At 37.7% G+C, this 23,704-nt stretch overlaps 1 protein-coding gene across 24 annotated transcripts in view; it reads left to right on the plus strand.

Moving 5' to 3' along the window:
* The window catches only part of PPM1A (protein phosphatase, Mg2+/Mn2+ dependent 1A), a 53,338-nt gene extending 45,833 nt beyond the window's left edge, over positions 1 to 7,505 (plus strand). For all 24 annotated transcript variants that reach the window (XM_047431505.1, XM_047431508.1, XM_047431511.1 and 21 more), the window contains one exon: positions 871 to 7,505. In XM_047431505.1, the coding sequence (XP_047287461.1) occupies positions 871 to 900 (30 nt within the window). In that variant the 3' untranslated portion in view covers positions 901 to 7,505. The remainder of the gene's footprint in view (positions 1 to 870) is intronic.

Here is a 23,704-nt window from a genome sequence, read left to right on the forward strand (position 1 = left end):
AACTCTGCTTGCTCTGATCTCTGCCTGCACCACAGTTCTAGTGATTGAGGACATAATCATGGTGAGTGGCCACCTCTCTCAAAAAAGAAGAAAGTCCTTTTGAATTATTCTAGATTTTTTAAGTCTTTACAAACAATCAACTTCAGAAGGTTTGCCTCCACTACATGGTTTTTTTTTTTTTTTTTTCCCGAAGTTGGGACTATCTCTACTCAGAATATTGTCTTATTCTGAGTTTTGTAAGCAGCTGCAGCAGAACTTCGGAATGTCTGTCTCAACTAAATAGTTCTTATGGTTGGAAATACCTTTGTCAGGAATCCTGAAGTATATACTTCACTTAAATATTAGAGAATTGTTTGCATAAATAGACATTAGAATGCCATACTCTCCAGTTAAGTGTTCTGTTGCAATTCTGTTGTATGATGTTTATAGAAAAGTGATAACTTAAAGATCATGTGGGCACAGCTCTGAAATATTTTATGTATTGCATTATGAAGCTTCCTCACATATTGAGTTCTTAATCTTTTCTGATGCATTAAAGGTTTATAAAAGTGGTATTCTAAAACTGTATTGGATTTCATTAAAAAATTCTTTTTAGTAGATTTATTGATTGAGTAATACATTTGGACAGCCTCATCATAAAACCGCATTTCAAATATTTTCCAAAACAAAACAAAGGATTAACAATTCTTTGAACAGATTAAACATTGCTATTTCATATGTACACATATATACTTATATACTTTAAAAAACATTTATATTCTAAAAGTCATCTTTACAGAACATTATCTTTCTCCATTATCCAGAAAGTATGGTGTATTTTGGCACCGCTAAATTTTAACGTTGTTCCTTATTTTGCTTCCTTTTACAAAGGACTCTACATCAACAGATGATATGTGGTAAAACTGCTCATCTAGCCATGGAGTTTACCTTCACCTCCAAAGGAGAGTACAGCTCAACTTTGTTGAAACTTTTAACATCCATCCTCAACTTTAAGGAAGGGGATATGACATGGGTGAGAATGATTACATCAGAGAACTTCAGCAGTACAACAGCTAGCCCAGAACTGATTTTTTTTTTTTTTTTTGTAAATTTGAGACTTATGTAAGCGTGATTTCAAACCATAATTCGTGTTGTAAATCAGACTCCAGCAATTTTTGTTGTATGATTTTGTTTTTTTGTAAAGTGTAATTGTCCTTGTACAAAATGCTCATATTTAATTATGAACTGCTTTAAATCACTATCAAAGTTACAAGAAATGTTTGGCTTATTGTGTGATGCAACAGATATATAGCCCTTTCAAGTCATGTTGTGTTTGGACTTGGGGTTGGAACAGGGAGAGCAGCAGCCATGTCAGCTACACGCTCAAATGTGCAGATGATTATGGAAAATAACCTCAAAATCTTACAAAGCTGAACATCCAAGGAGTTATTGAAAACTATCTTAAATGTTCTTGGTAGGGGAGTTGGCATTGTTGATAAAGCCAGTCCCTTCATTTAACTGTCTTTCAGGATGTTCCTTCGTTGTTTCCATGAGTATTGCAGGTAATAATACAGTGTATTCATAAGAATCTCAATCTTGGGGCTAAATGCCTTGTTTCTTTGCACCTCTTTTCAAGTCCTTACATTTAATTACTAATTGATAAGCAGCAGCTTCCTACATATAGTAGGAAACTGCCACATTTTTGCTATCATGATTGGCTGGGCCTGCTGCTGTTCCTAGTAAGATATTCTGAATTCCATTTTATCAATAAAGCTTGATTTAACAAACAAGAAACTTAATCATGTATGTGTAATTCCTCTTTTACCCTGGCCTTTTAAAACACTGTGCCGTTGTAATGAGACGTTTCTCATAGGGAAAGATGTTAGTCTCTTTTAATTGGACAACACTGTCACTCAAGGCATAGATGAAACTTTCCTTCCATTAGAAAGACTAAAAGATTTAATTCTTGGTTGTACCTTAATCTATTTTTTAAATAGGTTTCTTTCAGGCTGCTTATTTTTCATTAAGATGTGTATCAGCTTGGATTTGCCTACTGTTTAATTAAAATATTTATTGTCAAAGTTTGACAATCTAACACTCTATGGTAGGGGTGTGTGTGTGTGTGTTTGTGAGTGTGTGTTTGCCTGTGATTTTTAATTGGCCCATGTCTTTAGAATCCAAGTGGTTAAGATGTATTTGTGATTTGAAATATAGCATGTTGATAATATTTAGCTGTTGGCCTTTACAAATAACTTTCAAAGCTTAAGGAATTGTAGATATAAAAATAACCTAATTTAATTTAGGCTTAAATTCCTCTGATTAAGCATGTGAAAGTAAGTTTTAAAATCTGTCGCATTGAAAAGATTACTGTTCCGTGCCCTTCTGTATTTTTGTCTCTTTAGGTTGAATATTGTATTTATCACCATGTAATCATTCAGTAGGCAGATTCCCACTAGAAAACTGTTGAAATGTAAGACTAAAATACAACATTGAATACAAAATCAAAATTTTGTGTATAAAAACCAGTATAGTCCATTTTGTTATATTTGTTTTTTCCCTAACTTGGAAATATACATATTTGTATATATAGCCTTAAAATTAATGTAAAGTTAGGGGAGTAGTGGGGAAAGTAATGTGAAATGTCTCAGATTTAAGTAGTTAAATACCAGCAAAATCTTTTCATTATCCCTCTTATTTTGTGAGGTGATTAAATGTAACTTAATTGTATTTAATTTATATCTTATTCCAGCATGAATGAGGAAAAACTGAAGTACTATTTATATTTAGAAATTCATATCAGTTGAAATTACAGAACCAATTCCATACTTACAATAAATACTTAATGTCTAAATCTGTGGTAGAGTGCGAAGTATGATAATGTTCTAAGTTATGGCTTTGCAAGCATCTAAATGTGCATTTAATGAATACCAGTGCTTCTAGTATAGACTAATTACCAGACATACTGGTACTGAAAGCTAAATCCCTATTATAACAAACCAGTTCCTTAATATTTTAAGTAGACTGACAACTTTAGTTCCAGAAATTGCAAAACTTTGAACTGGACTGTGTAATCTTTTGAGATGCAAAACTTAAGTCACAAGTAGAGTATGTGATGGAAAGCTGTATTTCAAACCATAACAGCATATTTAGAGCCTTTTTTTTTTGAGTCTTTAAACAAGAGAAAATTAAAATATTCCTGTCAAAATTATTAGTATTGAAATTAGGCTTGGACACGAGAGAGAACCGTATTTGAGTGATGTGAGAAGACTAAATCTTTTCCACATGAGTCAGCACTGCCATACTAATAATTTTTTTACTATAAAAATACAGGAAGGAAGTATACATTATAACAGCAGACTGTGTGTGTTCCTGATTCCTGGAGGTAATAGTGGGGGGAAACCAACCATACTTTTTAAAGGCACTTTTGCACCTCTATTGTGCACTTCATTCTTGTACCACTTAAATTCTTCACCCCCATCCCCTTTTTTTGTGCTAATTAGCATCTCAGGGCAATGCCTCAAAAATGTTTGATGTGTTCTGTTCTTTGGAGGGAAAAAGTTCTTATGTGATGATAATATAGTACTCAAAATATACTTTTATCATTTAAATGTCTTATTTGCTGCTATGAATAGGAAATAACATTTTGTATAGCAGGCTCTGTTTTACCCTAACATTAAAAAATTTCACTGATCTTTCTTTCATTAACAGGGTAGAATCTCCTAATTTCCACTTTCTTGGGAATATACTTTTATAGACAATAGAAGCAGTTCTCAATATTAGCATATACTTTAAAAAATCAAAGTGATAACTTAATTCAGCTTTGGAAGTATCTCAAACATATTTTTACTTTATAGTGCATTAACTTGCTTCTAGAGTACTTAATGCAACTGCTCTAGCCACTTAATTTTTTATACTAATCTCAACATTAAGAAATTTGGATTAAGTAATAAATTAGTTATGTAATTCAAGTAATCTGAATTACAGCAGTACTTTTAGTGATCATTCATAGGACTATATATTAACCCAGCTAATAACTCAGTTTTTTTACAAAATGTTTCGAGTATTATTGGTAAAACACTGTTCTAGGCTAAGCACATTGGGACTGTAAAGAAATGAGTAGATCCTTGGCTTCAAGTTTACATCTGGACAATTTATAATCTAGTGTATGTTAGTATTATAACTGGATCACTCATCAAAAAATATATATATATATCTATTGCCCACCTGCTATCTACCAGGTACTTAGCTGATCAAGGCAGGCCCCTGCCCTAAAGACCTTGTTTATACTTCCTTTACTCACCTGAAAACTGTTCTCCAGTTTATTTTCTTCTCTCTAAAGTTAAAGAGTAATTCAGAAGAAAATTTTGCTTAGCATAAGAATAAAATTGGACTGAAGAGGCTTAAGCCCATTCAGTATCCTTGATTGCATTTATCCAACGGCCTTTATTCTTCCTGCTGACAGCAGTAACTCAGAGGAATAGGTAGTAGATTTCTGAAAATTATCCAGCCATGGAAATGTAGGTGGGGTTTGAGTTTAAGGCATTTAAAAATGTAAATATCTCTAGCTAAATTTATCTTAAGTAGAACTCTGTGTTTTTGTAACACACTGCCAGTGTTAATATCAAATTTTAGCCAAATTATTACTATGTGTTTTAATATTTTAAAATAATTTCACTGCCCATCTTTACTGGACAAACTCATTTGGAGTTCAACTTGTGATTTCTGAAAGAACTGATGAAATTGGGTACTGCTTTTTTTCTCCATTTTTCGTTTTGTTTTAATTTTGAATTTCATGGTATATACTTTTAGTTCAAACTCAGCTGTTTGTACAGTATTGTATTAGGATTTGGTATTAGAAAAGATGTGTAAATATCTTAGTATATAATTGTTTCTCATTTGAGGTTTTTCTTCTAAGGGACCTTAAAGAGTTTTATATACTTTTGCTCACAGAAACTGCTGGTGAGATTACCATTTTTTGAGTATCTAGTCTTCTAGTTTTTCTTTTAGGCATTAGGAAGCCTTCTTTAGAGTTCAAAATTTTAGAAGCCTAATTTGCTCTTACTTCCTTCAATTATGTGCCATGTGTTTTGGTTTGTATATGTTTTAAATTGTATATTTCCTTGGAATATGCTTGAAATATTTAAGAATACATTTTCAAAATGTATAATACTGTATTGTTTTGTTGATCAGAATAATAAGTCTCAGTTAAATGTTTGTTATTACTGATAGTCAAAATGCTCAATAGAAATGATGAGAGGCATTGGTTCCAATTCATTGTCAAATGAACGTTTTCTAATTTTGTTCACAGATTCTTTCCCTTTCGATTGTTCTGTATGTTAAGATAGTGGCTTCTGCTCTCACTGTTTTCCTATTTATATTACTAGCAGGTAGGAGTGCTAATTAGAAAAACTTAGATGGTATTGAAATTACAGTTGACAACTTATATTTTTATGAGATGGAGAAAAAAGATTAAGTTGATATAACAACAAAGTGGACTTTTTTTCTTCCTTATCCTGCACGAAATATTGCCCTTGTTTCCTCTACTTTCCTCTTGGTGTTTTCTCTTTTTTTCAAACAGAAACAGGCCAATTCCATTTTCTTGAGCAAGAAAGCTTAGTGTGTTACTTCATCAAGGCCAGCTAATACTGTGTTAAACCGGGCTGAAAATGAGAAAACTTGGGAGATGGAGGAATGGGGAAATGGCAGTGGGATAGGTAGGGAAGGATTACTCTTAATTGTTTTAAAAGCCATAGGAAAGTCTTCCTTGTACGTGGCTGTAAATTTATAAGAACTATTGTGTCACATAAACCAACAAGAATGAACCTTTGCTGCTTCAGATAATTTGATTTTTCCAGCAAGGAAATTAATAAGTTACTGATTCTTCAGCATAGAAACAACTGAGAAGAATTAATGCAATGTTTCTTCACTAGAAAACCCAACCCTTCATTTCTTTTCATTGCTCCAAAACCCAGTTTTCAACTAATGGTTTTCTCATTAAACTAAATGTTTAGAAAAGTTGTTTAGAGTTTTTCTTTTTCTTTTACATAGTCCTCCTGATCCAGTATAAGACTATTTAGTAACGTGCATTTGTATGGTACTATCTAAAGTAAGTTAGATTGATGTAAGAGATCGGGTAGCTGCGGAACAAAATTAGTTATATCCTAATTAGGTACAGTGAATGACACAAAATCATTTTAGCAATGCTTCTTAACCTTTTGGGGTCACAGGCGTTTTGAGACTGATGAATCCTAGGGACTTATTTACCCAGGAAAATGCGTATATAACATACATATCTCCCTAAAGTTTACAATATTGTAGTGGTTCATGGGCCCCCTGGTTAAGAGCCCATTCTAAAGTACAATAGGGCATCATCCCTTTTCCTGCAAAGCCCAAAAGTATATTTCTAGGGCATGAAAATAACTTGAGTCTATTTTAAGGAATTGTTTCACTCTAGAGGTAGATAGGGGACCTGGCTAGAATCTGACATTAAAATATACTTTTTAAAAAATATTATATTTGGGGTGGGGAAAGTGATTAAAAGGTGAAAAAAAAACATAGTATTCAGAAGTTTTGGAGGTTAATGTCTTTCTCTAAGATTTGCCACTTTAGAAATTCAACAGAAAAGAGGTAAAACAGAAATGGAATGTATCTGGAACATTTTTGGCCTCCATAGTGCAGATATACTATATTAACAAGTAATACATTTATTTACCTGTCAGATCTCCAGGTTTTAAGATTTTGAGCTTTCTAGTATTAGGATTCATTAAATGTTCAATTCATTTCATATTCTAAGGAATTAGGTTATTTACTTACTAATTCAGGATGTTAAAATAACATCCAAGTCGGACAACCACCACCAATGCACACAGTTAATGAGATTTCTAAAATATAATAAGTACAATGTAACAAACGTATAGAATTTTGCATTTGTTGCCAAAATTAGATGTTTAATGACAGCTTATTTAATTCCCATTTGTGGGACTTCTGGAACATAGAAACCATTATCTTACCTGGTTATCCCTTGACTAAATAGCATATCTGCAGGAAAATATCTTGTTTGTAGTGATATGCCCCAATAGTGATTGATTTCACTCTTGAAATGAGTTATATCACTTAATTTGTATAAATGTTATGAGTGGAGAGACATGTACATGTTAAAAGCATGTTGCATTATATATTCATTTTTTAAACTCTATAAATGTTAAGAATAATATAATTGCAGAAATATTTTTCTTAAATACAATGTGTAACAAAATTCTCCGTAGCAACTCACCCACTTTGCAGTTTATGTGATCCACACTTTTAAAGAAATTCCATAAATGTATATTTTGTATTATGTATTATTTCCTGGTCCAAAGAAAATATGTGAATTCAGTTCTAACTTTAAGAATGTACTGTTTGTTTTCAAGTTCATTGAAAAATTGCATTCAGCCTGCGAATGGTTGCAGATTGTATGTTAGATGAAAAGTAGAAATAATTTCTAGTTTGGAAAACTGGTGCCACTAAATAAACAGGCAATTACATAATGTGTGTGTATTTATGATTGTTTAATATTGCAAGCAGCATTTTTATTCCAAGAAACGTGGAGAATTTGAAATTAGCTGTTGGAAGACCTTAAAAGAATTGTTTTTTTCAGCTGAGAAATAAATCTGATAGGATTTGAACTAGATTTGTTCCTTCCTAATTTTAGGAAGTTTACTGAAAGCCAAGAAGTTTGAGTTGATGGTTATTGTCATGAAACATTCCAGAAATAAAGAAGCCAGAGTAGTTTCTCTTTGGTAAGAACATTCCCATTTGTCTGTCTTCTAGTAGATGATTACTCCCTTGAAGAGTTGAAATTGGGAATTGGGAGTGGTCTGGGAAAGGACTTCCTCACCTGGTATCTGTGGTATAGTGCCTGCTTCAAAATGGCACTTAAATGTGTGTGTTTCTAGGATGCAGAAAGGAGGTGTTTATTTCCTCTGCCAATTCTGATCATTGGCTATATTATATCCTGTGTTCATTCATGTCTGAAAGTGACTTAAACAGGTTTAATTGATTCTAGTCATGGCTTCCATAATTAGAGAATTTTTAGAGTTGAACTGTTAATAAAAGTGAAATTCTGTGAGCCGCAAGAGCTCATTTTGTTTATTGTAAAATGTGTAATAAAACAGTAATGAAGCTTCATAACCAAAGGTAAAATATCTTAGAACTGAGTAAGGTAAAGTAAGGCAAATAAGGTTTTATTTTATTTATATGTAAGTGGAACCTCTTCACTCATCAAATTGTATCATGCAGTTTTGTTCATGGGTTTTTTTGGGTTTGGGTTCCCCCTCCACCCCGCTTTGGAGCTTTTCTTTTGAATGTTGAAGCTACTTTAAGTTGTTTTATTTCTTTTTTCTTAATTTATTACTGAGAAACTTACATTGGAGTGCCCTTCTCTTTTTCCTTTTTTATCAATTAATAGTTCAAATTAAATTTCCCATCACTTAATAGCTCAGATTAAACTTCTCATCAAGTCAAATTTTATTCTAGTTGAAAAGTGCTATATTTTTTGATAAATTACCCTGGGAAATTGGTTTGCATGCCCTCTATAGAACTTTGCTTACTTGCCACAAAACCAACAACTTACCAGATGTTGGTAAAAGATTTTGCTCTGATGGCTGCCTGTTGTTTACATGAGCATTATATGTATTTCTTCTGATATGCTATCTAAGGTGATTCAGAGTGCCTAAATAGTGAATTAGCTAAACATTCAACATGTTTCTGTGATAGTTTAGATACAGGCTTGTGTCTTCCAGACCAAAGCACTTCTCTATAGCTGTACAAAAGTTTTTCTGGAAATCAATTTGAACTAGCAAAATTTACAATATTTAGATTTTTGATCTACAAAAATGGCAGTTTTATCTAGCTTAATTTGTTTCTGAAATTAGTTGTTATTCTTGAATGATCAGATTGCAAGTCAGTATTTGGTATTTCTCTCATTATTTATATTTTAAGTCTTTTAAGAACTGGATGAGAGGTTTAAAGAAAAGCTATACATATTTGGACAAATTTCCAAATGTGAGGCTGGATAATATACAAATGTATACAGATGCTCTAGCATTAGGTCAACATCAGTATGAGAAATGTTATTCCAGCAGTGACTGGGAAAGGAAAGGATGCCGAATTTAAGTGTTCAGGGAGGAATATAATAGAGACTAAAGATGGGGGAAATGATTTTAAGGATTTATTTTGAATTACATAATTGAGGTGAGTAGAGAGCTCCTTTCTAATATTTTATTGGGATGTTGACGTGGATCCAATTTAGTCTGTGACTTAGAGACATCAGTGAGTAATTCTCTGAAAACAATTGTTCTTTAAAGTGCAGTCTTTGTTAAAGGTGGCTGAGGGCTCTAACTTTGTTCTAGGTGTCAACTCAAACTCTGACTTAGGCTACGGCCATGCTGCACCTTTTCTAAATATATTTTTTGTATTTTATTTTACTATTTGTGTCTGCCTTGGTAACAGCTAAAAATTACCTAGTATTTTAAAGGCAAAGCATTTGCTAGAAGAGTGTAACTGTTCTGGGTCAACGGGATTAGATGTGTACCTTACATTAGCATACTGAAACCATTCAGGGATTGTTCTTCTAATTCTCAGTGTGACAGTCTTGAATGTATATTTGATTCTATTAATATTTAATGAAAATATTTTTGTGAAGAGCCACTGTATATCATAAGAGCAGAGCTATTCTCAATTATTTTAGCCATTGAACTTTTAACTGCTTACTAACAATGCTGAAAGGGTTTTTTTTAACTTAAAGTTTCCAGAACAGTCCTAACAAAAAAATTTTCTAGTGATTGGATACAGTGGAGGCATATAAGTGACTTTTTAAACTTATTAGGCATAGCAAATAAGTCTTTATGTACTTGGTATAAATTTGACTTTTATAACTGTTCACCTTTCCTGATGTATTTTAACAGACATATCCTGTTGCAATGATCCTTAATAAAATGAAAGAGATCTTAGCATTTGGTAAGACCAATGAAACTGCTTTTGTGCCCAGATCACAGAAAAGAAGCTCCCTGGGTATCCTTCCTTAGAATTTACTTTTATGTCTGAAATCAGGATGCTTCCTTTTTTTTGTTGTCTTCTTTGTTTTTGTTTTAAATGTGTAGGTCCCCAGACCACATTCTGTTTTAGGGCTTCTGTAAATACTCTTAGGAAAGTAAGTCATGAAATTCTGCCTCCTCGAATTTCATAAAGGATTTGTTTGCCATGTGCTCTGTCCTGATTTTTGCAACATATCAAATAAGCCAGACTGTTGAATGACAATCTGGTTTTAAGTGTATTACATACGCATGTATAAATATCCTTGTTCGGGGTCAACTCTACAGTGACTGTCAGTAGTGTTATTGGTTCAACTTGACCTTCAGAGGTTTCCCTGCTTCACGACCAAATGGATTTGGCATCTGACAGGACCGCAGTGTCAGTAAAAGCTTCATCCCAAGAGGAGCAGGGTTCCAAGAAGGAAACTTCCTGGAGGGCAAATCTCCATAATTTGAGATAAGGAAGAATACAGTAGCAATTTTTGAAGATCATGTGGTCAGTTCTCTGAATCTCTTGGAACTATCTTTGATATTTTAGTTTCTTGGACTGAATGTCACTTTTGTTCAAAAATCCTTTGGGTATAAAAATTTGGATATGTGAAAATGTACTTTTTAATCTTAGAATGTGATTTTCTTGGACTTAAAGTCATTTAATGAAGTTGGCATTTTTCTGTTTGGCAAGGGAGGAAGAGGAAAAGGGAAGGTGGAAGAGGGGAAGAAAAGGAGATAAATACTAAGGGCAAGAAAGGAGGGTTGTTTAAAGTGAAAAACAAGGTGTGTTTTTTAAAAGGAAAATCATATTTTTATGAAATTAGGCACCTTATAAATCATCCTTATGTTTTATAGCAGTCTCTAATGCATTACTGGTTGGAAAATTAGTCATGTCTCTTCCCCACCCCCCATCCCCCCATTATGTTTTTAACTCTCCCTTCCAGAGGGGTGAGTTAGGGGGAGGAGGGAATAATGCAGCTTTGATTGTCACCTGTCATAGGTTTGATTAGGAAAGCGATTAAAACGAGGTTTAAAATAAAGGATTGCAGATTTCCCTTCTGTTATCAGTTCCCTGGCTTCTCTGAAGCAGTGGTTTTCAACCTGCCAGCAAGGTAGAGTGACCTGGGAAGCTTTAAAAATCCTTTAGCAGTGAAGGTTAAGTTGGAAGGTTCAACTGAAAGTTACCCCTCCCCTCATCCTCAGTGAATCCCTGCATCCTCCCTGTCCCTGCTCAGATCATTGTCATTCCTCTCTTCAAATCCCTGCCACTCAGAGAAAGCCAGTGTCCTTATAGTGGCCTGCAAAGCCCCGTATCTTATGTGGTCCTTGTGACCTCTTGAACTCACCTTCTTCAGTCTGCTTTAGATGTTCTGGTCTTATAGCTGACCTCAGAACATGCCTGTCCCACTCAAGCCCTAGGGTCTTACAGGCACTTGCTCTAGCTGTTCCCCCTACCTGAATTATTTCACTGGCCAAAGCAAGTCACATTGCCAGTTCAGGAGGGCCTGAAAGAACAAATCAGAATATTTGTGAACAAGCCTAGTCTCTACTGTGGTGTCTAATGTGTATTTGATGACTGAAGAAGATTGTGCATCTGTGTGCATCTGTAGAAGATGAGATAGGCATTCTGTTTTTGCCAGGAGACATAGTCTTATTTGAACTGGACTATTTGAGATAAGTGCTGGTGGTAGAGAGGCTGGGACCACATGAAATGGTCTCATTATAAATACTGATAATTAGGAGGAGGTCCATGTTCCTGCATTTGTGGGGGAGTGGGAACACCCAGCTTTGAAGGTAAGGTTAAATTTGCATATGCAGAGCTAAGTACAAAGAGTTTTCCAGCAGAGGAAACAGGTGTGCATTACGTAGAGAAGGCAGCAGAGGCCAGTGATGATAGTGTTCTTGCCAGGAACTTTCTGCACTCAGGTTCCCTAAGGGGGTCAAGAGAGAAGTTTAGATAAAGTACGTCCCTAAGAAAAAGCCTGCTTTTTATCTCCTTTGCTTTTTTGAAAAGAGCTGTCACTGTTTGTAGGCATCCCAGTTATGAATAGATGCTGCTTATCTCAAATCAGCTTTACTCTCCAGTGGCATTTTAATAATACATGGAAAAGTTGTTCTCTAACCCAGTACAGTGATGCCCCAAACCTAGCAGCCTTTAAATGATTTTGGCTGATTGTCCAGTCAGGAAGATTCACCTGAGTGGAGTGTTCTGGGCTGCAGAGAGACTTGGCAGTGGTTCTGACGGACCTGTGAGTCCACAATAGGAAACGGTCTTCATGACCATAGCTAAGTACCATGTAGCTGGCCTGGCTAGCATCTGGCCAGCACGTGCCAGGAGAAGTGGTCTAATTTTAACTGCACTTTGAGAGCGTGCGTGGGGGCAGAGAGACTGGGGCCACATAAGGCTGTTTGAGGCTTCCCGTTTGCTTTTGCTTCAGTGCTGCTGTTGGACGCTACCATCATCCTCTCATCCTCCAATCAAAGCAAAATAACATTAATGTTCAGAAGGTGGAATTAGAGCAAAAACCATTCAGGAACTTGGTAGTTTGTCATATTCCACATTTTTCAAGTTTTTCACAATGGACAAACATACATTTTATAATTTTTAAAACATTATAAAGCAATGCCTCCAATTTATCAGTAATTTATTTCTGACGAAACTATTGTAAGATGTTTATGTGCCTATTTTTGAGCCACTTCTGAAGCTATTACACAAAGTCCATTCATTCAGAATACGGTAATTTGGACAAAAACATTGCCAAACCCTTAGTTTTATCAGAAAGCTTCCCTCCACCCCATGTGCTCTCCTTCCTTCCATTCTAAAACAGTAACCTACACCAGTTGTGGCTAGGACGTGAGGTAAAACAGTGATGTCTTCTTGGTGACTGTAAGTCTGGAGTAGAAATTCTCTGAATATAAGTGGTAAGCACCAAAAACCAAACCCATCCCAGCGGGCTCTGTTCCCTACTAGATACTTTGTCTTGCTACCGCTGCAGCTCCGACCCAAAGCTGCTGGGGAGAATTATTAACCAATCTTAAATAAACCCCTGCTGTCACTAACCCTGAAGCTGCTCCTGTCAAGGCCTCGTTGCCACCCACACCTGCAGTTCGGAGTTTCTGCCTTTAGACTTGGCAGGCAGTTCAACTGGGGAACTTGGCTGTATCTACTGCATTCTGCTGTGCATCAGCCGAGGCACAAGCCGTGGGTTCATCTCTAGGTAATGACTCCTTATCTCTGAAGTGCTTCTGGTACTGCCACAGTAGACTGGATTTTATGTTTGCCACAGAGCCTATATTTTAAGTTTGACTACCTTAAACCTCCAAATTTGGTGACAGTATTTCCAGTCATTTTCTTGTGATACATGGGAAAGACAAAATCAGTAAGTGGGCCAAGCGCAGTGCTCACGCCTCTAATCCCAGCACTTTGGGAGGCTGCGGCGGGCAGACGGCTTGAGCCCAGGCTTTTGAGACCAGCCTGGGAAACATGGCGAAACTCTGTCTCTACAAAAAATGCAAAAATGAGCCAGGCTGGTGGCACACTCCTGTAGTCCCAGTTACTTGGGAAGCTGAGGTTGGTAGATTGCTTGCACCCGGAATGTTGACGCTGCAGCGAACCGTGTTCACACCACTGCACTCCAGTCTGGGTGATAAAGTGAGCCTCTGTCTCAAAATGAAAAAGTCAGTGATATGGATTGTTGTATAAAATGAAGATTAATTTAAATTTACTAGATTTATCTCCCACCATAATTGAAAATAACCTGTACAAAATGTATATATATATAAAAGCTGGCGGTGGGGGGGGGACCTTTTTTCCAAACTGTGATCAGCATTAGCCACCTGAATTAACTTCTCAAGGAAGATCGCACCAGCTTTATTTTTTTTTTTACATAATTTTTTATTGTGGTAAAGAATGCATAACAAAATTTACCATTTTAACCATGTTTAAATGTACAATTAAGTGCCATTCATTACATTCACAATGTGTGTAACCATCACCACTATCTATAAAGAGAGCTTTTTCATCCTAAACAGAAACTGTACCCATGAAGCAACTCCCTGTTCTCCCCTATCCTCAGAACTTGGTAACCTCTATTCTGCTTTCTGTCCCAAGGAATTTCCCTAGTCTGCATATCCCCTGCAAATGGAATAATACAGCAAGTCCTCTTAACATCATCGACGGGTTCTTGGAAACTGCGACTTTAAGCAAAACAACATATAAAGAAACCAGTTATACCACAGGCTAATTGACATAAATAACAGTTAAGTTCCTATGGCATATTTCTGGTCACAAAAACATCATCAAACTTGTAAATAAAGGCCCCAAACAGTAATACTATTGCAAATTGAAATAAATGTGAGCTATTGTATTAGTCTGTTCTCACGCTGCTCATAAAGATACCTGAGACTGGGTAATTTATAAAGGAAATAGTTTTAATTGACTCGCAGTTCCACATGGCTGGGGAGGCCTCACAATCATGGCGGAAGGCAAATGAGTAGCAAAGTCATGTCCTACATGGTGGCAGGCAAGAGAACATGTGCAGGGGAACTCCCCTTTATAAAACCATCAGCTCTCATGAGACTTATTCACTGTTATGAGAACAACATGGAAAAGACCTGCCCCCATGATTCAGTTACTTCCCACCTGGTCCCTCCCATAACGTGGGAATTATGGAAGCTACAATTCAAGATGAGATTTGGGTGGGGACAGAGCCAAACCATATCAGCTATACATACATTTAAGATTAATAAAAACAAGTAGGGTCATGATATCCTTAGTGACTCCAGTTCAGGGCTGCAGTGGCCACAGCCTCTCCTGGCAGCTCAGGGCTCAAGGTAGGAACTGACCCTGGACAGGATGCCATCCCATCTCAGGGCACACACACCTGCACTCACCCAGACTGAGACCATGTAGACACGCCCATTCACCTAATGTGTGCATCTTTGGGAGGTAGGAGTAAACTGGAGCACCTGGAGACAATCCCCACAGGCAGTGGCCCCAGCCAAGGAATCAATTTTTTTCTTACCATTATAACAAAATGACATTGAAAAAGACAGTGTTATTCAAGGACCTGCTGTATACTATTTGGTCTTTTTTGTCTAGCTTATTTCACTTAGCATAATGTTTTCAAAGTTTATCCATGTTGTAGCATGTATAAGAATTTCATTACTTTTTATGGCAGAATAATATTCCATCCTATGTACCTGTTCCATCCTATGTACATCTGTTTATCTATTTGTACATTGATGAACTCTTGAATTTCTTCTACCTTTTGGCTATTGTGAATAATAGTGCCGTGAACATTGGTGTATAAGTTTGAGTATGTTTTCAGTTTTTTGAGGTATCTATCTAGCAGTGGAATTACCAAGTCATATGGTAATTCTATGTCCAACTTATTGAGAAACTGCCTAACTCTTTTCCACAGTGGCTGCACTGGTTTACATTTCCACCAGCAATACATGAGGATTCCAGTTTCTCTCCACATTCTTGACAACACTTATTTTTTGTTTGTTTAATAATAGCCATTCTATTTCATTGGTATTTCATTGTGGTTTTGATTTGCATTTCCCAGATGACTAATGATATTGAGCATCTTTTCATTATCGGCCATTTGTATATCTTCTTTGGGGGAAATGTCTATTTAAGTTCTTTGCACATTTTTTAATTGAATTGGGGTTTTGTGTGTGTGTGTGTGTGTTATGAGTTCTTCATATATATATTCTGAATATTAATCCCTTATCAGTTATGTGATGTGCAAATATTTTCTTTCATTCTGTGGATTGCCTTTGTACTCTTTTTTTTTTTCTTCAGACAAGGTCTTGCTCTGTTGTCCAAGCTGGAGTACAGTGGTGTAATCACAGCTCACTGTAGCCTCAACCTCCTGGGCTCAAGCCATCTTCCTGCCTCAACCTCCCAAGGAGCAGGGACTACTGGCACGTGCTACCATGCCTGGCTAATTTTTGTATTTTTTGTAGAGATGGGGTTTCACCATGTTGCCCTGGCTGGTCTCAAACTCCTGAGCTCAAGCAGTCTGCCTGCCTCTGCCTCCCAAAGTGCTAGGATTACAGGCATGAACCACCATGCCTGGCCTCCACTGTATTCTTGGTAGTATCAGTTTATGCACAAAGTTTTTAATTTTGGCAAAGTCCAATTTATCTGTTTTTTTTTCTTGCCTGTGCTTTTAGTGTCATAGTTAGGAAATCATTGCCTAATCTAAGGTCATGAAGATTTTTCAGCTATACTTTATTCTAAGAGTGATACAATTTTAGCTCTTAAATTTAGGGCTTTGATCCATTTTTTCTGATTCATTTTTTAGTTAATTTTTGTATGTGGTGAAATGTAAGGTATCAACTTTAGACTTTCACATGTGGATGCTCGGTTTTCCGAGAACCATTTATTGAAAAGATCTCCAGCTTTACTTATGATGATAGATTGAGTTGTTGGTTTTCTCTTTCTGCCTCACAACACTGGGCAAAGGTTTGAGGCAGCTTGCAAACTGCTTCGTTCCCCTCCCTGTTACCTGGCTGGTGAGGATCAACCCTGATTCCTACAGTAATAATGGTTCTTGCACTCCCCATTTAAAATAAGTAGCCAAGACAAAGAAGTTCTGTGGTTCTTGTTTACCAGCAATTGGCCTTTCGCATGCCTGTCTTCCCCATAAGGCTGGTAGATAGTGAGAAATGTTGAGACAAAGTATACAAGACACCTAGCACAGTGCCTACCACACAGTGGATGGATCAGTTAGGGCACTGTGTTTCCAGGCAATAGATACGGACTCTAACTAAATTAAGCAAAAAGTGAAATTTATAGCAAGCCCATTAGGAGCTCACAGATGTATAAAAAATCTTGAAAACCAGGTTGAAAATGGGAAGGAGCCAAGGTAATTAGAGGAAGAAGCTATCTTCTTAGCTTCTGTGGTGTGGCAGACACCAAAATTTAGTGATGCACCAAACACCAAGACAATACTTAATGCTGTATAAGAGACTTCCCAAAGAAAATAGAGTGCAATTAGGAAGAGGGGATGAATGCTAGGTAATGATTTCTGGCAAGTTGTCTGCTATAACTCAACTCGTTGGTTTCCCAGTATCCATATCCACATCCTTTTCACTCGTGTACTTTCCCAATTGCCCCTGCCTCACATAACATAGTTTTCGAAAATGCATTAGCCCATCCCCAGGGGAAGACAACACAAAATGTTGTCAGTTACTGTTCCCAGTCCAGTATATCTCTGTGATGTCTACTCTATTCCTGTCACAGTCCCATCTTGCCATTCAGCAACTTATATACTAAATGGTGAATTTAATCGACAACCTGCTGTAGCTTGTGGGCAAGTGGGGGTTGGGGAGGGGGATAAGGTAAATTCTCTGAAAATTTAGATGTGTGCACACCCCTATTTGTATCAGCAATATGATTTCCCCTTAATGGTCTGGGTCAATCATCCTAGCTATGGTATTTTGTTCAAAATAGTCCTTGGCTGTCCCCAAAGGACACTTCTATGGGACAGTTCCTTGGGAAGATTATACATCTCCATCCCACTGCTATCAGGCTGGCCATGTGGTTTGCTCTAGCCAATTGAATGTGAGTGACTTTTATGAGGCAGCTTTAATCATATGGTTCTGCCATGAGCTTGGCACTGCTCTATATTCCATTGTCCTGGGTCCCAGAAAGAAGAGTACATGGGCAGAGCTGCACCTATTGATTCATGATTGACAAATAGTGTGAATGAAAAATAAACCTTTGTTAACCACTGAAAGTTGGGAGGCACTTGTCAAAGCACAATTAAGTCTTTACTGACTAATACATCAGCCAATAATAACACACACCCCCACCCCAGCCTTTCATTTTGCACACTGGAAGAAGGTGCTCCAAATAGGTGGCAGTGTCAACTTCCAACCTAGTGGGACTATGATATATTTACCTTGGTGTAAGCATTCCTCTTTTGATTACTAAAGCTTCTAAACCAGCAGTCATGAGAATGGAAAGCAAAATTTTTACAAGTGATCAACCACTTTGATTCTAGACCAATACTGTCCAACAGAAATTTCTGTAATACTATCCAATATGGTAACCATTAGCCACATGTGGCTACTGAGCACTTAAAAGTGTAGCTAATGTGAGGAGCTGTATTTTTAACTTTTAGTTTTCAAATAGGTACATGTGGCTAGTGGCTACCATATTGGACAGCACAGTTCTAGACCCTCATATCCTTCTTTGGAAAAAAGAGCACTATATTCAGTCACTGGTTCAGAACACAAATAGAATCCTGCAAGATAGCATCCTATATTCTTAAGGTACTTCTGATGCAGGCCAGGTAAGCCGTAAAATTGGGTCTTCACCCAAGAAATAATTCAAGGGTGAGCTGGTGTTAGATAGCAATGCAGTGTACAGCAGCAGAGGCACTGCTCCTTATGAAGCAGGGCTACCCCATAGACAGTGTGCCCAGAGTAGCAGTTCAAAGGCAGTTCTATTTATACCCACTTTTAATTATATGCAAATTAAGGGGCAGATTATGCATAAATTTCTAGAAAAGGTGTGGTAACTTCTGGGTCATCAGGTTGTTGCCATGAAACAGGGCAGTAATGTCGATGTTGCCATGGCAATGGTAACTGATATGACATGCTGGTGGGTGTGTCTTATGGAAAGCTGCTTTTGCCCTGTCCCTGTTTTAGCTTGTTCTCAATTTGGCCTTGTGTCCGAGTCCCACCTCCTGAGTCAATTACTACCTCCTACCTCACTACCTCACAGGTGCTCCTGGGACTGGTCTTCAATAAGCCAATCAACTTTTCTGTAAGGCTAGATGCTTCTGGCTGTTGGATGTGTGTTAAAGCCAGTGAATCCAAGAGCATTAGCTCATCTTTATGCTGTAACATGAGAGCAGATGCTTGTCAAAGAGGCCTTGGTTTTGCTGCAAACCCCTGCAGATCTCAGATACTCCAAACCCATTAGTTCTGCTGAGTTCTGAGACCAGCTAGCAAAGTTATCTTTCTCTTAACCTAGGCCCCACTCAAAGCTAGGTGTTCTGGGGAGGGGGTTCTTGGTAAATGACTTGTATAAAAACATCCAAGTCAGGTAGATAAGGCTGTGTCTCTGATCTTAATTCTTCAGCTCTATTGAATCTTGGGGCCCCGCAAAGCCTTCTGTTGTACCTCTACCGAAGTTCATTCACCCCTTCTTGCCTCTGTTTCTCTCTGTAAAAGCGTCACTGGCATAGCAGAACACACAAATCATTAACTCAGTATAGCGCATGTAGTTTTCCTCAAGGAAACTGAAAACAGCTTGGTCAAGAGATAGGGCTCTGGAGATTCCTAAAAGGCACATGAGCTTTGGTGTTGCCATCTTGACACTAAACTCTCTTATTTTTACAATTATTTTGTGCCCCCCCCCCAAAAAAAATTCAACTTAACTTGGGTAATGTTTTCTTATACCTCCCTCCAAAAAAGGTGAAAGAATAGTACAGTGAATTCCCAATACCATTTGCCTAGATTTACCAATTTTTTAAATTTTGCCTCATTTTAAAAATTTTTCTCCCATACTCTCTCTCTCTCTCACACACACACACACACATACACACACACGTACAATTTTCTGAACCATTGGAGAAGTTGGAAACATTATGCTTCTTTATCCCTAAATACTTCATTTATATTTCCTGAGAACAAAGGTGTTTTCTTACATAAAAATCACAGTGTAATTACCACAACCAGTAAATATTACATTGATAAAATACTGTTACCTTATCCATAATCTGTTCAAATTTCATCAATTGCCTCAAAATGTTTATTGTAGCTATTTTTTTCCACTCCACGGTTCAATCTGGGATTATGCAAATGTATTCTGTTGTAATATCTCTATGGCTTCCTTACTCTGGAACAGTTCCTCAGCCTGCCTTTGTCTTTATTACATTTAACATTTTTGAGGCACAGAAGCCAGTTAGTCTGAGCATATCTCTCAGTTGGGGTTTGTCTAGTGCTTTCTCTGATTAGTTTCAGATTATGCAGCATTGGCAGGAACCCAATAGAACTGACGTCACATCCTTAATACATTACATCGGGAGGCACATGTTATCTATTTGTCCCATTACTGGTGATGTTATCTTTGCTCCCTCAGTTAAGGTGATGCCTACCGGTTCTCTCCACTGTGAAGTCAATGTTTTTCTCTTTACAATTAACATGTAATTAATGGGGAGATTATTCAAGACTGTGTAAATAGCCTTCTTCATTAAACTCTTACCCACCAGTTTTAGCATCAGTTTATTTTCTGACTCCATTCTTTCCATATTCTACTATAAAGAAGGGCTTTCCCTTTTCTCTCCAAAGTTTAGATTTTTGGGTTTTTTATTTTGTTTTGTTTTTCGAGACAAGGTCTTGCTGTGTCAACCAGGCTGGAGTGCAGTGGCATGGTCTCTGCCCACTGCAGCCTCGACCTCCTGGGCTCAAATGATCCTCCCACCTCAGTCTCCCAGGTAGCTAGCACTACAGGCATGTGCCACCACCGCTGGCTAATTTTTGTTATTTTTTGTAGAGATGGGGTCAATGTTGCCTAGGCTGATGTCAAACTCCTGAGCCCGAGTGATCCCCCTGCCTCAGCCTCAGCCTCCCAAAGTGCTGGAATTACAGATGTGAGCCACCATGCCCTGCCCACTTTTAGCTTTTTGAAAATTAACAAATGTGCCTAACATATTTTCACTCATCCCGGGCTTCCCCTATCCTGAACCTCAACCTGATGTTGGTCCTCATTCCAGATAATTTTGTTTATCACTAATAATGTTTATCACTGCCTTCCCATTCTGACTCCTACTCCATCTCTGAGCTTCACCCATCCTAATTTCCTGTCTCCGTCTACCCCACTCTGTCTTTGGCTTTGAGTCTGGGCAATGAGCCCTGGAGAATAGCGCGGATGTTGGTAATGTACTACTGAAAGCATTTTATCTCCGAGAGAACATTAATCTTCCTCTCCTGGTAGGCATTTTATCCTATTTTTTACATCTTGTAGATTTTTACTATTTTTCATCAATTCTGAGAGGTTTAGACAAATTTCCATTCCTAATCTTTATCTCATTGGCTTTTCCAAAGTCAAAACTGGAATTTCTCTTCCTAAAACGAGTCCTGATTTTACTCTTTGTTTACACCTTATTCTAGAAAGTACTTTTCAAATATATACAATCTAGTAATTTTGTTAAGAGAGAGGACTAGAATTAAGGGAAGCAAGGATAGCAAAAGTAAGATTAAGCCTGAAATAAGGGTGGAATAGAAAATGCATGTCACGCGAGCTTCGTTTGGCTTCAGTCTTTCTAGCAGCCAGTGCAAAAGAGAGTTTTATCATTAACTGGTCTTCTTTCCTCACCAAATAGAGAGTGATACTGTTTAAATTCCCCCAGTTAAACCGAAGTCACTTGAAGCATGTTTCCATCATTACCCGGCATTGGGTGGTTCTATCCCAGGCTTAAGTAGTTTCCTGTGATACTGATCGGAACTCAGCTGAAGACTTGGAGGAACCTCTGCAGATTTCCACAGCTCTTTCCCTCTTCAGCTTTCTCAGGGACTCTGTTTTGAGAACTTGAGTGGCCTTGCCTTCCCTGGACCCACAAGTCTCTCTGTTCAACAAACCACTAGGCTTTATCTGTTTCCCTCCCGCTGTGCCGTTGTCGCCTGGAACATCTCCCCAGGCAGGAAAGCAAAGCGCTCATCAGGCTTACACTTCCTTTCTCAAAGGCATCCCTGTGCCTCGCTGCCTGATTGTGCAATGTCTTGAAAACCTGTGTTTCATAGAATTTGTGTGTTTCCTTAGTTGCTTCATGTGGAAGAGTTAATCTGGTCCCTGATACTCCATCCCGAGTGGCATCAAAAGTCCCTTGTTTCTCAACAACACCACACCTTTAAGTCCTAGCCCACCTGGGACCACCAGGGATTTCTGAAGGCTGCCCTCCAGAAGGCACCAATCTGTGATCAGAAACTTTTAGGAACCACTGTGTCTTCCAGGCAACATTTATATAAACATATAATTTTAGAAGCTCAATGACATTTTATTTTTTCTAACTGCACCCTGGATGGATGTCCTCAAATCTGCAATGATTTGGAAAAGGAAAATTTTATACAGGCTGTTCATGTTATAAGCTGAACCTAAGACTTATTTTTTAGAATATAGTCATTATTGTTCATTGTCATGTCACATTTGTTGACAATGCCTGTCAGGTAAACACGTTTCCATCTTACATAGCTATATATGAATATATGTGGATTCACTGAGTATACTCAACTTCCCATTAACTTGGGATAAGTAAACTATAGTGAGAATAGAAAAAGATATTTTGGAAAAAAATTAGTAGGAGTAAAAAAAAAATACTTACATATTGGAACGTATCTATCGTTTGGCACTGCATAGTAGTAGACAGACCACATGCTCCTCTCCAAGCAACTAGAGATACAACTTCTCCAAAAAGACCTTGATTTCTCAGCCAACAGCCCATCTAGAAAACAAAACAGGGGATTACAGTCTAGACATTGTGGGCCAGGCACAGTGGCTCATGCCTGTAATCCCAGCACTCTGGGAGACCAAGGTGGGAGGATCACTTGAGGCCAAGAGTTTGAGGCCAGCCTAGGCAACATAGTGATCCCCATCTCTACAAAAATGATAATTTAAAAAATTAGCCAGGCATGGTGATGCACACCTGTAGCCACAGCTATTCAGGAGGCTAAGGCAGGAGGATCACTTGAGCCCAGGAAGTCAAGGTTATAGTGAGCTATGATTGTGCCACCGCACTCCAGCCTGGGTGACAAAGCATGACCCTGTCTTAAGAAACAATAAGAATAAAAATAAAAAGATATAGTCATCAGAGATCCCATTCCACACTCAGCAATGGGGACCATGGAGGATGGAGGTAGATAAGGAAGAGGGGTTGGGGAGAAGGAGGATTCAGGCCATGGAGAGTGCTTGGTCTTATCCTGAATTTCAAAACAATGGGCTCAACTAAGAACTAGCAGTTTGGCTGTTTTTCATTTTGGTTTTGTTCTCAAACTATTTTACAGTACTTATACATTCGGATGATGGTTAGAAGAATAAATGTGTTTCTGAATATTGTATGTAATTTTAGCTAGACAAAGAAAGCCTTGGGGTTATATCATTCAAGGATATAACAGCCTAGTCTCTTACACGTGGGCATCTGTTGCTGCTCACTTTCAAGATTCCACTGTGTTTGTGACTTAATTCTACTATTTTGCTGCCACCAACTGATGGATTCCCTCCATGGATCTTTAACCAAATTCCCCAAGAGATGAGATCTGATCAGCTGGCTAGTCAACATCCATTAGCAAGTGTGCTTGTTGGGCCAGCCAGTGAGACGGCTACCTTAGACTCAGGTGCCAACCTGTGACATAGGGCAGCAAGGTCATGTGGGATAAAGCAAGATCATCCATCCAGGCCACCAAAAGAGGCTGTGAGTGTGGCAGGTGCTCGGTATCCCACATCCAGTACAAAAGTGGAAGATTTTACTTAACATTTTCAACAGTACACACGAGTCCCTGAGCTAATCTTTTTAGGAGATAAAGATATGGGAAAGACTTGATTTCTGTCATGTCATTGAGGAATGGTGATAGATGCTGTACAGCTAGGAGACAAGCCAGAGAATGAACGGCAGGGTGGAAGAATGGCAGAGCAAGCAGATGTGGAA

Source organism: Homo sapiens, chromosome 14 (genome assembly GCF_000001405.40).
Source record: "Homo sapiens chromosome 14, GRCh38.p14 Primary Assembly".
Lineage (NCBI taxonomy): Eukaryota > Metazoa > Chordata > Mammalia > Primates > Hominidae > Homo > Homo sapiens.